Consider the following 13,418-nt stretch of genomic DNA (forward strand, 5'->3'; position numbering starts at 1 on the left):
TCCCTCTCATGCCGGGCCAAAGCTGGACTGTACTGCTGCCATCTCGGCTCGCTGCAGCCTCCCTGCCTGATTCTCCTGCCTCAGCCTGCCGAGTGCCTGCGATTGCAGGCGTGCGCCACCACGCCTGACTGGTTTTCATGTTTTTTTGGTGGGGACGGGGTTTCGCTGTGTTGGCCGGACTGGTCTCCAGCTCCTAGCCGCGAGTGATCCGCCAGCCTCGGCCTCCGGAGGTGCCGGGATTGCAGACGGAGTCTCATTCACTCAGTGCTCAATGGTGCCCAGGCTGGAGTGCAGGGGCGTGATCTCGGCTCGCTACGGCCTCCACCTCCCAGCCGCCTGCCTTGGCCCCCCAAAGTGCGGAGATTGCAGCCTCTGCCTGGCCGCCACCCTGTCTGGGAAGTGAGGAGCGTCTCTGCCTGGCTGCCCATTGTCTGGGATGTGAGGAGCCCCTCTGCCTGGCTGCCCAGTCTGGAAAGTGAGGAGCGTCTCTGCCCAGCCGCCGTCCCACCTGGGAAGTGAGGAGCGCCTCGTCCCGGCCGCTATCCCATCTAGGAAGTGAGGAGCGTCTCTGCCCGGCAGCCCATCATCTGAGATGTGGGGAGCGCCTCTGCCCCGCCGCCCCGTCTGGGATGTGAGGAGCGCCTCCGCCCGGCCGCCCCGTCTGAGAAGTGAGGAGACCATCCGCCTGGCAACCGCCCCGTCTGAGAAGTGAGGATCTCCTCCGCCTGGCTGCCACCCCGTCTGGGAAGTGAGGAGCGTCTCCGCCCAGCAGCCACCCCGTCCGGGAGGGAGGTGGGGGTCAGCCCCCCGCACGGCCAGCCGCCCCGTCCGGGAGGTGGGGGGCGCCTCTGCCCGGCCGCCCCTGCTGGGAAGTGAGGAGCCCCTCTGCCCAGCCAGGAGCCCCTCTGCCCGGCCAGCCGCCCCGTCCGGGAGGGAGGTGGGGGGCTCAGCCCCCCGCCCGGCCAGCCGCTCCGTCCGGGAGGGAGGTGGGGGGGGGTCAGCGCCCCCTCCCGGCCAGCCGCCCCGTCTGGGAGGTGTGCCCAACAGCTCATTGAGAATGGGCCATGATGACGATGGCGGTTTTCTGGAATAGAAAGAGGGGCAAGGTGGGGAAAAGATTGAGAAGTCGGATGGTTGCCGTGTCTGTGTAGAAAGAAGTAGACATGGGAGACTTTTCATTTTGTTCTGTACTAGGAAAGATTCTTCTGCCTTGGGATCCTGTTGATCTGTGACCTTACCCCCAACCCCATGCTCTCTGAAACATGTGCTGTGTCCACTCAGGGTTAAATGGATTAAGGGCGGTGCAAGATGTGCTTTGTTAAACAGATGCCTGAAGGCAACATGCTCGTTAAGAGTCATCACCACTCCCTAATCTCAAGTACCCAGGGACACAAACACTCTGCCTAGGAAAACCAGAGACCTTTGTTCACTTGTTTGTCTGCTGACCTTCCCTCCACTAGTGTCCTATGACCCTGCCAAATACCCCTCTGTGAGAAACACCCAAGAATGATCAATAAAAAAATAAATAAATAAAATTAAAAAAAAAAAAAGAAAATGGATTAATATAATTGTCATGTTAAAAAGTTAAAAGAAAAAAGTTAGAGGATCTTCTTCATAACTACTACAATAATTTAACATTTTATTTCAGATTAATAACTCAATAAAGTTTACACAGATGGAAATTTACTAAACATGATACATTTATATCAGTATATTTGTGTTTGTCTTCGCTAAAAAAAAAAAAAAAAAAAAGAAAGAAAATTTTAGGTGGCTCACATCTGTAATCCCAGCACTTTGGGAGGCCAAGGCGGGTGGATCACTTGAGGTCAGGAGTTTGATACCAGCCTGGCCAACATGGCGAAACCCCATCTCTACTAAAAATAGAAAAATTCAGCCAGGCGTGGTGGCTCACGCCTGTAATCCCAGCACTTCGGGAGGCCAAGGCAGATGGATCATCTGAGGTTGGGAGTTCAAGACCAGCCTGACCAACATGGAGAAACCCCCGTCTCTACTAAAAATACAAAATTAGCCGGGCGTGGTGGTGCATGCCTGTAATCCCAGCTACTCAGGAAGGCTGAGGCAGGAGAATCGCCTGAACCCAGGAAGCGGAGGTTGCAGTGAGCCGAGATTGCGCCACTGCACTCCAGCCTGGGCAACAAGAGTGAAACTTGGTCTCAAAAAAAAAAAAAAAAAAAAAATTAGCTGGGTGTGGTGGCACATGCCTGTAATCCCAGCTACTCAGGAGGCTGAAGCAGAAGAATCGCTTGAACCCAGGAGGTAGAGGTTGCAATGAGCCAAGATCATGCCACTGCACTCCAGTGTGGGCAACAGAGTGAGACTCCATCTCAAAAAATAAAGTAAAATAAAATTCTCTATGATGGGGCTAAGCTGAGAAGAAGTGGTTGGATATTTAGGAGGAAATGGCCTCTGGTGAGTTAGGCCTGCCTCACCCACCTTTACAGAATATTCTTCCAGAAGTGCTGGAGCAGAAGGACAAGAGACAGGACAGCAACTTAAAGGACTAGCAAGGTAGAAAGAAGGCTAGGGGTTTCTAGAAAGGAAAGAAGAAAGAGTCCCATGGAGAGAAAGAGAATTAAGTTTCAGTCAAAAATCTAAACAGATCATGAATTAAAAAGTAGAAATGCTTTTGGGGTTATAAATAACATCTACGATTGCTGAATAAGGATTTCTTATCTCAAAAGTTCAACTCTTTCTGCGAACTTGCAATAACAATTGCACATTTTAATCCTTTAAAGCTCGCTGTGGCTATGAGCAATCAGATGTAAATGGCTGTATTTCCTTTGGAACAAGTACACTTTGAGCTATTTTGGTATCAGTAATGTTTCATATGGGTTTCACAATGTATAGACATAAATATATGAACAATCTCCCAGTTCCTATTAAGAGATTGAACAGATGGCCAAGTTATTAATATGTGGCTTAAACCCAGCACTCAGACATCTGAGAACACGCATTGGATTCCTGAGGCGTCACAGCAATGCTCAGCAGGCTGGCTGCCACATGGTGGCCCAAGAAGCAGGTGCTTGTTATAAACATCAAAGCCCCACATCTGACCCAATGGAGACACCCCTGTTCAGAGTACTTGCAAGGCAAGACCAACATGTGCGAGCTCAGAGTCCAGCAGTGGCCCATGGCCCCTCAGAAGGCCCTGGAGGTGCCCAAGCTCCACCTGCCCATGGACCCCACCGCAGGCCAGCTCTGGCTCAGTCCCTGGGGCTTGAGCCTAACAGACAGGGCAGGCCATGCTGCCTGCCCATTCTGGGGCCCCTGCCAGGCCCAGTATCTCCTGAAGTTGGAGGCATTCTGGGGCCAAAGAGAGAAGTCCAACATCTCCAGGGGTGAGCCGAGAAACCAACCTGGACTGCCAGAACTGCCAGGCCTGCCTGAAGGCAGGGGTTTTTCTTGGGTGGGTGGGTTGGCACGAAGTGTTTGCCATCGGGATTATCAGTCAGGCCTAGCAGGTAGAGCCGTCTGGAGTCTAACCTGATGCAGCAGGTAGACACTGCGTGCACTGGATGGCTCCTTGGCCCTCAGCAGCCTCAGTCAGAGGAACTGACACTCCCAGAAGACCAGCTTCCAAGTACCATTTTGCTGTCTAAAGCACATTTCTGTGACAAGTTCTGCAACTTTCGGTGTATCTTACTCTTAGCAAAACAACTCCCAAAATCCTTAGTCTAACATGCTCTGAGCCACAGCCCACATGACCTTGAATTTCCTTTCCAGTACAACTTGAGAGTAGAACTTAGAGCCATGCTCTATGAAGGCTCCCACTCAGTTTTGAAATTGATGCAGCAGGAAACACGTTCTGGACGAAGACTTTTGAATTCAGACAAGGGCGATGAGTGTCCAGAGAGCCAGGTACGAAGTTCACAGAAGCTGTGATCAGAACACATCCGCAGGACTTGGAGAGATCACAACTCAACAACCTTGTCTAACGCCAGTCTGGTTGGCCTGGTGCAAACTGGGCTGGCCAACGTCTGGCCCTCTATGCTGAGCCCACCCACAGTGACTTGAGATGCAGAGATTTGTGATGCCGGTATCTGCTGAGGCAAGGAATCTTGTTCTTTGCGGCCATTTCCCTCCCTGCAAAGTTGTTTCCTCCAGGAGCCCCAGGGTTTCTGTTCCTTCTGGGTTATTCCAGCTGTAGGGCCCCAGAACCATGGCATCCTCTGTGCCATCAGGGCCAGGGGGGACTCCATGTGCCCATAGGTGGTCTTCTATGCCGACGTCTGCTGCCATAATTCCTAGAGGGTCCAACTAGCCTTGGGCAAAGTCAAATCAACCAGCTGGCTCTGCAAGCTCTGAACACAGAGCTGAGTCTGAATCCACTTCTTTCTTAACATCCATGAGCCTTGGTGCCCTCGTTTGAACAACAGGCCTCATCTCTAGGCCTGTTTCAAGGATGATATCAAAGGATGGCAGAATGCACCATCCCAATATGCCACTTTGGCACAAGGAACATTGACTCAAAGGAACTTAGAAAAACCGCAGGTCCAAGAAGAGCACTCTGACCCCAACCCCACCCACTTACCACTCTTTTTTTTCCCTAGAGGTAGGAAATAAAACTTCCATGTGAAAGGCACCCTCCCTTTAGCGGGAGGAAAGGATGATTCTTATCACTAGAAGCAGGGAGTCAAAGCTCCAGAGTATTTTGAACAAACAGACTTCGTGAAATAACTCTTATCTTCCTTTCATTTCCCCACTTATCTTACTTTTCACAATTGCCTCTCTTTGTTCAACCCAGTAGCTAAGCACTTGGGTTTTGCCACTTCTTTGGGTCTTCATTTTCCTATGGGGACTCTCGTGTATGTGTAAAAATCTGTGTGCTTTCCTCGTGTTAATCCTTCTTGTGCCAATCTGATTTCAAGGCCTAGCCGGGGACCCTAAGAGGATGGAAGTAGTTTTGCTTCCCCTACAATATGAAAGGACAAATCTAAAACTGTCTAGACACTATGTCTAGTGCACTGCAGGGAATTAAAAAGCATCAGTTTCCTTCTCTCCTGGTTAATCTCAGTAGCTCCTTTTTAGGATGGTGGCATCCACAAATGGCAATGAAGATGCAGGAAGGAGAGGGAGATTTTGTTTATATTGTTTGTCCTTTTTCCAAATAAGTAAAACTGACATTTCTGGCTTCTAAAATTATCATTTCCTACAAGTAACTACACTGAATTGGCTTCATTGAAAACCTTTTATGTGCACTTTCTCTCACAGATTTGTTATAACGAAACCAAAGGCAATACAAATAAATCTGCCGATAACCCTGGATTACTTTTATTGTTAACAGTAATCAAAATGATCGCACTTTCATCTCCCTTCGTTTCCTTTTCTAAGGTGTTAATGAGGAGTGACATCACCCTGGAATTTCACTAAAGATAAAATATAATTTACAGATTATACTGAGACAAGGCTTCTATTTGTGGTTAATGGAGTTCATTTAAACAGCGCCAGATTGTTCTTGAGTTAAAGAGGTCACCAAATAGGGGCTGGTGATATTTTTCATGTTCAAAATGTTTGTGGTAATTGTATATAATGTGATAGGAGTGGACCACAAATTGGATAACCAGTACGGAGGTATTCTAAAGTCAGATTATTAAATCAAGAAGCTACCCAGAATTAGATGGCATGGCATGCAAATTGAGTTCCTTCTGCCACCAAAGGCTCCCAGCCCAGTCTCATCTATCTAAGCTTTTCTTGAAGCTTGATTTATCAAGAGAGTTCCAATGCTGGACCCATTTCTCTACCCAAAACCCAGAATTCCAGGCAGTCATCGGTGCTCTCCTTCTCTTTCTCCTTTCATCTTTCTCTACATCCTCCTTCTCTTTGACCCTCTTCCAACCCAAATTAAGACTGCAAGATTTGACCAAGGCTGGTGGCTCACACCTGCAATCACAGCACTTTGGGAGGCCAAAGTGAGAGGATCACTTGAGGCCAGGAGTTTGAGGCCAGCCTGGGCAACATAGTGAGACACCATCTCACTATGGTGGCATCTCAGCATGGTGGCACACGTGCAGTCCTAGCTACTCAGGAGGCTGAGGTGGCAGGATCACTGGAGTCCAAGAGTTCAAGGCTGCAGTGAGCTATGATGGCGCCATGGCACTCCAGCCTTGGCAACAGAGACTGTCTTCAATTAATTAATAAAATAAAAACTAAAAGACTGCAAGACTTGAACACAACTCAGGAACGAGTCTCCATTGGCAAAAACAAGATAGAAACTGGATTGGGTAATTTATCATGAATGGAATTCTGCATAAATGTCCTGGCTCACAGTTCTGGAGGCTGGGAAGTCCAAGATCAAGGTGCCAGCAGGTTTGGTATCTGGTGAGGGCTTGGCATCCACTTCCAAGGTGGTGAGGAATTAACTCTTTTCCTCACATGGCAGAAGAGCCAAGAAAGAGCAAGAGGGGGCCGAAATTGCCCTTTCATAACACCACCAATCCCACCGATGAAGGGGTAACCCTTATGGCCTAACCGCCTCTTAAAGCTTCCAGCTCTTAATATCATCACAATGGCAATTAAGTTTCGACATGAGTTTTGGAGGGGACAGACATTCAAACCACAGTGCCATTTGTGTTCATTCTGCTTTTTAGTTTTCTCCAGAAACTACTGGCCTTCAAATTAGTAATTTACTGGCATGAATATAATTACAAATTATATACCTCTAAATAATTATTGATCTGTTACTCATGATTTCAGTATAAAGTATGCAATATACAACTCATTTGACCAACCAGTACATGCTAAGTCCAATGATTGAGCATCAATCCTCATTTTCCTTGGTGTATCAGTTGCACTAAACCCAGGTGAGCCATCCTTCCTGCTTCAACACATTCTTCACCAGGCTTCCAGGAAACTAGGAAACCATGGTTTCATCCTACCTCCCATGGGCTCTTCTCCATCTCCTGTCATCTCCCTGACCATGTGACACTGCAGAGCCCCAGGGTTCATCCCTTGGTCCTCCCTCTGTACTCATTGCCTGCTTATCTCTACCAAGCCCACAGCACTGTATGCGATCTCTTCAGACAACTCCCATTTTTAGCCTCCCCAACTGCCTACTCAACAACTTCACTTGAATGTCTAGTTGACTTCTCAAACTTGATGTATACAAATCAGAATGTCTGGGTTTCTGTCTACAGCATACCCCCATCTCAGCTAAAATAACTCCATTCCAGTTGCTCAGACCACACATTTGATATCAATTTGGTTCCTCCCATTCATACCTACATCTGAGCTGTTAGCAAATCCTATTGGCCAGATTAATCAGAGTGGTTAATGGAATGGTATAGATACAAGGGGTGAATACTATTGGAATACAACTCTTCATGGGTCACTCACATTTCTGCATTTCTTGAGAGCAGAAGTACTCTCTCTTCAAGGCTGTTTGTATAGCAAACAGTCTTAGAAGATAGAGATGCTATCTCCTAGATCAAAGGGCAGATTTGCTATGTGGTAAAATAAGAGAGAAAAGGGCAGGTTTGCTTGTCCATCATAAAAGATTTGAATTCCCTAAGTTCAAGGTTCCTCAGCTGTGACACAGAGCTCCCACCTGGACTCTTCATCATCCCTGTAGGACTTAGGGGACAAAGGATGCTGACAAAAACATGAAGCACACACTTCTTGCTGTCCTGTAAGAAAATTCTCTGTCTCTAACCCAGAAATGGGTGAAATCTGTCAGTCAGTTTGCAAGTAAGGCACAACCCCAGACCCTTCAGTTCTATGACTTTCGGAGCACAGAGTGGGCTTATAATTAGATACAAAGAAAGCTCACAATGTTTTTAAGGGTATTGTATTTCAGGCTTTCTTCTTTCTATGGATAAGAAAGCTCCTCAGGTGGCAACAAAGGCCATTTCTTTGGAAGCAGGCATGGCATGTGACGAAAAAAAGACATCTCAGAAAAGAGCCAAGAATAAGACTGGAGAGCCACTGTCAGAGAACAGAAACTGGGCTTAATCAAGGAACATCTCTTGTTCCCAGAGTAGGAGGCTGGCAATATTTTCTCACTGAAATTTCAGAATTGTTATGGACCAGTGACTGCTCTATGTGTTCAATTTGTTCCCTTTTCAAATGGAAGCATTTATTGCAGACGACCTGCCTCTGTCCCACCATTGTGTATTAGGTTTGTAGAGTGTAGACAACTTGCCTTTTTAGTTTGTAGGTTTCTGTATCAAGAGAAGATGTGTGTGGGCCTAACCTAGATTACAGGATCCTGGACTTCAAGTCTGATATAATGACTGGATGAGACTTTGACTGTCCTAGAATTGGGATGAACATATTTTGCCGGTGGGAGGGCGTGAGTAATTGCGGTTAGAGGGCAGACTGTCCCTCACACCTATTCCTTTTCATGGTGCCTTCCCAAACTGCCTCTGGAGGTGGCCACACAAATGGCTTTGGCCATTGTGACCATGGGAAACTTGATGCAGAGGCTGGAAAAAGCACTTGCATGTTTCTGTCTCCTCTCTTGTTCCTCTACAATCACAAGAAATGTCTAGGCAGGTCTGAGCAGGCCCAGGCTCATCTGCCATGGAAGAAGAATGGCACATGGAAGAGGGTCACATTGTCCCAACCAAGACGATCCTAGACCAGCCAGGCCCCAGTTCATGGTTCAAGACACATGAACATAGTTGCACGAACCAAGATTAGTTGTGTATGGCCCAGACTAGCAGCAGCACCCATCCAACCTACAGACTCTGAGAAATAAATACTAGTTGTCTTAAGCTTCCAAGTTTCAGTGTGAGCATTAGGTAGTAACAGTTAATGAATAAGACAGATAATCATTTTATCTGTCTGGATACTTATACAATGATTTCTATTTTTTATTGATACATAATATTTTACATATTGCTGGGGTACATGTGACATTTTGCTACATACATAGAATGTGTAATGATCCAGTCAGGATATCTGAGGTGTCCATCACTTTGAGAATTTCTCACTTCTGTGTGTTGGGAACAATTCAAGTCGTCTCTTCTAGTTATTTTAAAATATACAATACATTGTTAACTGTAGTCTTTTTTATTGAATGACAGGACTTGTACCTTTTATCTAACTGTATGTTTGTATCTATTAAGCTAGTTCTCTTTATCCCTGCCCCCTCCTACCCACTCACTCTTCCCAACCTCTAACATGTATCATCCTATTCTATATCTCCATGAGATCAACTTCTTTAGCTCCCACATATGAGCAAAAACATATGATGTTTGTCTTTCTGTGCCCGGTTTATTTCACTTATGACCTCCATTTCCATCCATGTTACTATAAATGACAGGATTTCATTCTTTTTGTGGCCAAACAGTATTTCATTGTGTATATATACTACATTTTCTTTATCCATTCATCCATTGATGAACACTTACGTTGATTCCATATCTTTGCTATTGTGAATGGTGCTGCAATAAACATGCACGTGCAGTTATCCCTTTGATACACTGATTTATTTTCCTTTGGATAAATACCCAGTAGTGAGATTGCTGGATCATACGGTAGTTCTACTTTTAGTTTTTGAGACATTTCCATACTTTTCCAGTGTTTGTATTAATTTACATTCCCATCAACAATGTATAAGATTTCCCTTTCCTCCACATCCTCACCAGCATCTGCTATTTTTTGTCTTTTTAATAATAGTCATTCTAACTGGGGTGAGAGGATATCTCGCTATGGTTTTGATTTGCATTTCCCTGATATTTAATGATATTGAGCATTTCTTCATATAACCTATTGGCCATTTGTGTGTCTTTTTTTTTTTTTTTTTTTTTTTTGAGAATTGTCTACTCATTTTTGGCTTTTTAAAAGATTTATTTTTTGTTGTTGTTGAGTTTAGTGCATATCCTGGATATTAGTCTCTTATCTGATGAAGAGTTTGCCAATATTTTCTCCCATTCAACAGGTTGTCTCTTCATTCTGTTGACTGTTTCCTTTGCTGTGCAGAAGCACTTTATATACAGTCCCATTTGTCTATTTTTTAGTAGTCTATGCATTTAAGGTCTCAGCCACAAAATCTTTGCCTAGACCAGTCCTAAAGTGTTTCCCCTATATTTTCTTCTAGTAGTTTTATTGTTTCATGTCTTATATTTAAGTCTATAATCCATTGTGAGTTGATTTTTGTATATGGTGAGATAGGGGCCTTGTTTCATTCCTCTGCATATAGATATTTAATTTTCTCAGCACCATTTATTGAAGGTGTCCTTCCCTATTGTATGTTCTTGGTGCCTTTGTCAAAATTCAGTTGGCTATAAATATGTGAATTTATTTCTGGGTTCTCTATGTGGTTCCATTAGTCTATGTGTCTATTTTTATACCAATATCATGCTGTTTTGATTACCATAGCCTTGTAATATATTTTGAAGTCAGGTAGTGTGATGCCTCCAGCTTTGTTCTTTTTGCTCAGGATTGCTGTGCATACTCTGGCTTTTTGGTTACATACAAATTTCAGGATTTTTGTATTTCTGTGAAAAATGGCATTAGTATTTTGATAGGAATTGCACTGGATCTGTATATTGTCCTGGACAACATGGTCATTTTAACAATATTAATTCTTCTAATCTATGAGTATGAGACGTCTTCCCACTTGTTTGTGTCCTCTTCAATTTCTTTCATTGGTGTTTCATAATCTCCCTTCTACAGGCCTTTCACCTCCTTGGTTAAATTAATTCCTAGGTATTTTTTTGTAGCTACTGTAAATGGGACTGCCTTCTTTCTCAGCTAGTTCATTTTTGGTGCATAGAAACCCTATTTTTGTATGTTCATTTTCTATCCTGCAACATTACCAAATTTGCTTATCAGCTTTAAGTGTGTATTTTGCTTTGCTTGTAGAGTCTTCTGGTTTCTCTAAATGTAAGACGATGTCATCTGCAAACGGGGACAATTTGACTTCCTCTTAAAAATCTGTATGCCTTTTATTCCTTTCTCTTGCCTGATTGCTCTGGCTCTACCTCCAGTACTATACTGAATAAAAGTGGTAAAAGTGAGCATCCTTCCTTGTCTTGCTCTAGTTCTTAGAGGAAATACTTTCAGTTTTTCCCCACTCAGTATGATGTTAGCTGTGGGTCATATATAGCCTTTATTATGTTAAGATATGTTTCTTCTGTACCTGGTTTGTTGACAGCTTTTTATCATAAAAGGATGTAGAATTTTATCAAATGTTTTTTCTGCATCTGTTGAGATAATCATATGGTTTTTGTCATTCCTTCTACTGTTGTGATGTATCATGTTTATTGATTTGTGTATGTTAAACCATCCTTGTGTCCTTGGTATAAATTATACTTGGTCATGGTGTATTATCTTTTTGGCATCCTGTCGAATTGTTTGCTAGCTTTTTGTTTTGTTCTTTTTGAGAATTTTTATGTCTAGGTTCCTTAGAAACACTGGCCTGTAGTTCTCTTTTTGTGTGTGTGTCCTTGTCTAGTTTGGTGTCAGGGAAATGGTGGTCTTGTAGAATGAGTTGTTTTTTCTTTGATTTTTTTGCAAGAGTTTGAGGAGAATGGGTATTAGTTCTTCTTTATGTGGTTGGTCAAATTGGCAGTGAATTCATTCAGTCATGAGCTTTTCTTTTTTTGGGAGGGTTCTCATTACTGAGTTAATCACACTGCTCATTACTGATCTGTTCAGATTTTCTATTTCTTCTGGAATCTCAGTAGTTGTATGTTTCCAGCAATTTATCCATTTCCTCTAGGTTTTCTAGTTTGGTAGTATATAGCTATTCATAATAGTCTCTGATGATCTTTTGTATTTCTGTGATATCAGTTGTAATGTCTTTTTCATTTCCTATTTTATTTGGGTCTTTTCTTGTTTAGTCTAGCAAGGGGTTTATCTATTTTATCTTTTTGAAGAACCAACTTTTTGTTTCATTGACCCTTTCTACGTCTTTAGTCTTTATTTCATTTAGATTTGCTCTGAACTTTACTATGTCTTTCCTTCTAATTTTGGGTTTGGTTTGTTCTTTTCTAGTTCCTTGAGGTGCATCATTGAATTGTTTCTTTGATATCTATCTACTCATTTGATGTAGGTGTTTATTGCTATACACTCTCCCCTCCTAGAGCTCCTTTTGTTGTGTCCCATAGGTCTTGGTATGTTGTTTCTATTTTCATTTGTTTCAAACATTTTATTTCCATATTAATTTTTATCATTCAGGAGGAGCATATTATTTAATTCCCATGTATTTGTATAGTTTCCAAAGTTCCTCTTATTTCTATTTTTACTCCATTGTGGTCTGAGAAGATACTTCATATGATTTCAATTTTTAAAAATTTGTCAAGACTTGTTTTTTGTCCTAACATATGGTCTATCCTGGAGAATGTTCCATGTGCTGATGAGAAAAATGTGTACTCAGCAGTTGTTGAGTAACATGTTCTACAAATATCTGTTAGATCCATTTGGTCTAAAGTCTAGTTTAAATCCAATGAGTTTTTGTTAATTTTGTCTAGATGATCATGATCTGAGACTGAGGTGAAGTCCCCAACAATTATCGTGTTGGAGTCTACCTCTCTTTTTAAATCTAGAAATATTTGCTTTATAAATCCGGGTGGTCTAGTGTTGGGTGCATATATTTAGTTGTTATTTCCTCATTAGATTGATCTCTTTACTATTATATAATAACTGTTTACTGCTTCTGGCATAAAGTCTGTTTTATGTAAGTACAGCCATTCCTGCTTGAGTTTAGTACCATGTTGACAAAGGGATGCATAGAGAGTTGGTAAAGCATGATTTCTGGGTGTCTGTGTGAAGGTGTTTTGAGAAGAGTTTAGCATGAGTCTGTGGAGTGAGTGGGAAGATTCTCCCTCAATGTCAGCAGGAACCATCCATCCACTGGGGGCCCAGGTAGAAAAAGATGAAGAAATGGTGAATTCTCTCTCTCTCCTGGAGCTGGGTCACCCTTCTTCTGCCCTTGAACAGGACATCACAACTCCAGGCTCTCCAGCCTTTGGACTCCAAGACTGACACCAGTGCCCCTCCCCAATTACCCCAGGCCCTCAGGCCTTTGGCCTAGGATTGAGACTTACACCATCAGCTTCCCTGGTTCTGAGGCTTCTGGACTTGCACTGGGCCATACTACCAGCATCCCAGGGTCTCCAGCTTGCAGAGAGCCTGTTGTGGGACTTTTCAGCCTCCATAATCAAGTAAGCCAATTTCCCTGGTATCTATATAGATATACAATCATGTTTTGCTTACCAGCCTGAAAAATGTATCGCTAGATGAGTCTGTCATTGCATAAACATCATAGTGTACTTACACAAACCTAGATTCTATAGCCTACTACACACCTAGTCTATAAACATGTACAGCATGTTACTGTACTGAATATTGTAGGCAACTGTAACACAATGGTGAATATTTGCATATTTAAACATATCTTATCATTAAAAAGATACAGTAAACATAAGGTATAAAAGACAAAAACCGGCACA

General features: G+C 43.4%; 1 annotated feature.

The window, feature by feature from the left end:
* Positions 830–1,625: an enhancer, noted in NCBI's record as "NANOG-H3K27ac hESC enhancer chr21:40529419-40530214 (GRCh37/hg19 assembly coordinates)". NCBI's record gives its function as "activates a minimal SCP1, AML or CMV promoter by ChIP-STARR-seq in naive H9 embryonic stem cells {active_cell/tissue: H9 hESC(naive)}" and the evidence as "EXISTENCE:reporter gene assay evidence [ECO:0000049][PMID:30033119]".

Source organism: Homo sapiens, chromosome 21 (genome assembly GCF_000001405.40).
Source record: "Homo sapiens chromosome 21, GRCh38.p14 Primary Assembly".
Classification (NCBI taxonomy): Eukaryota; Metazoa; Chordata; class Mammalia; order Primates; family Hominidae; genus Homo; species Homo sapiens.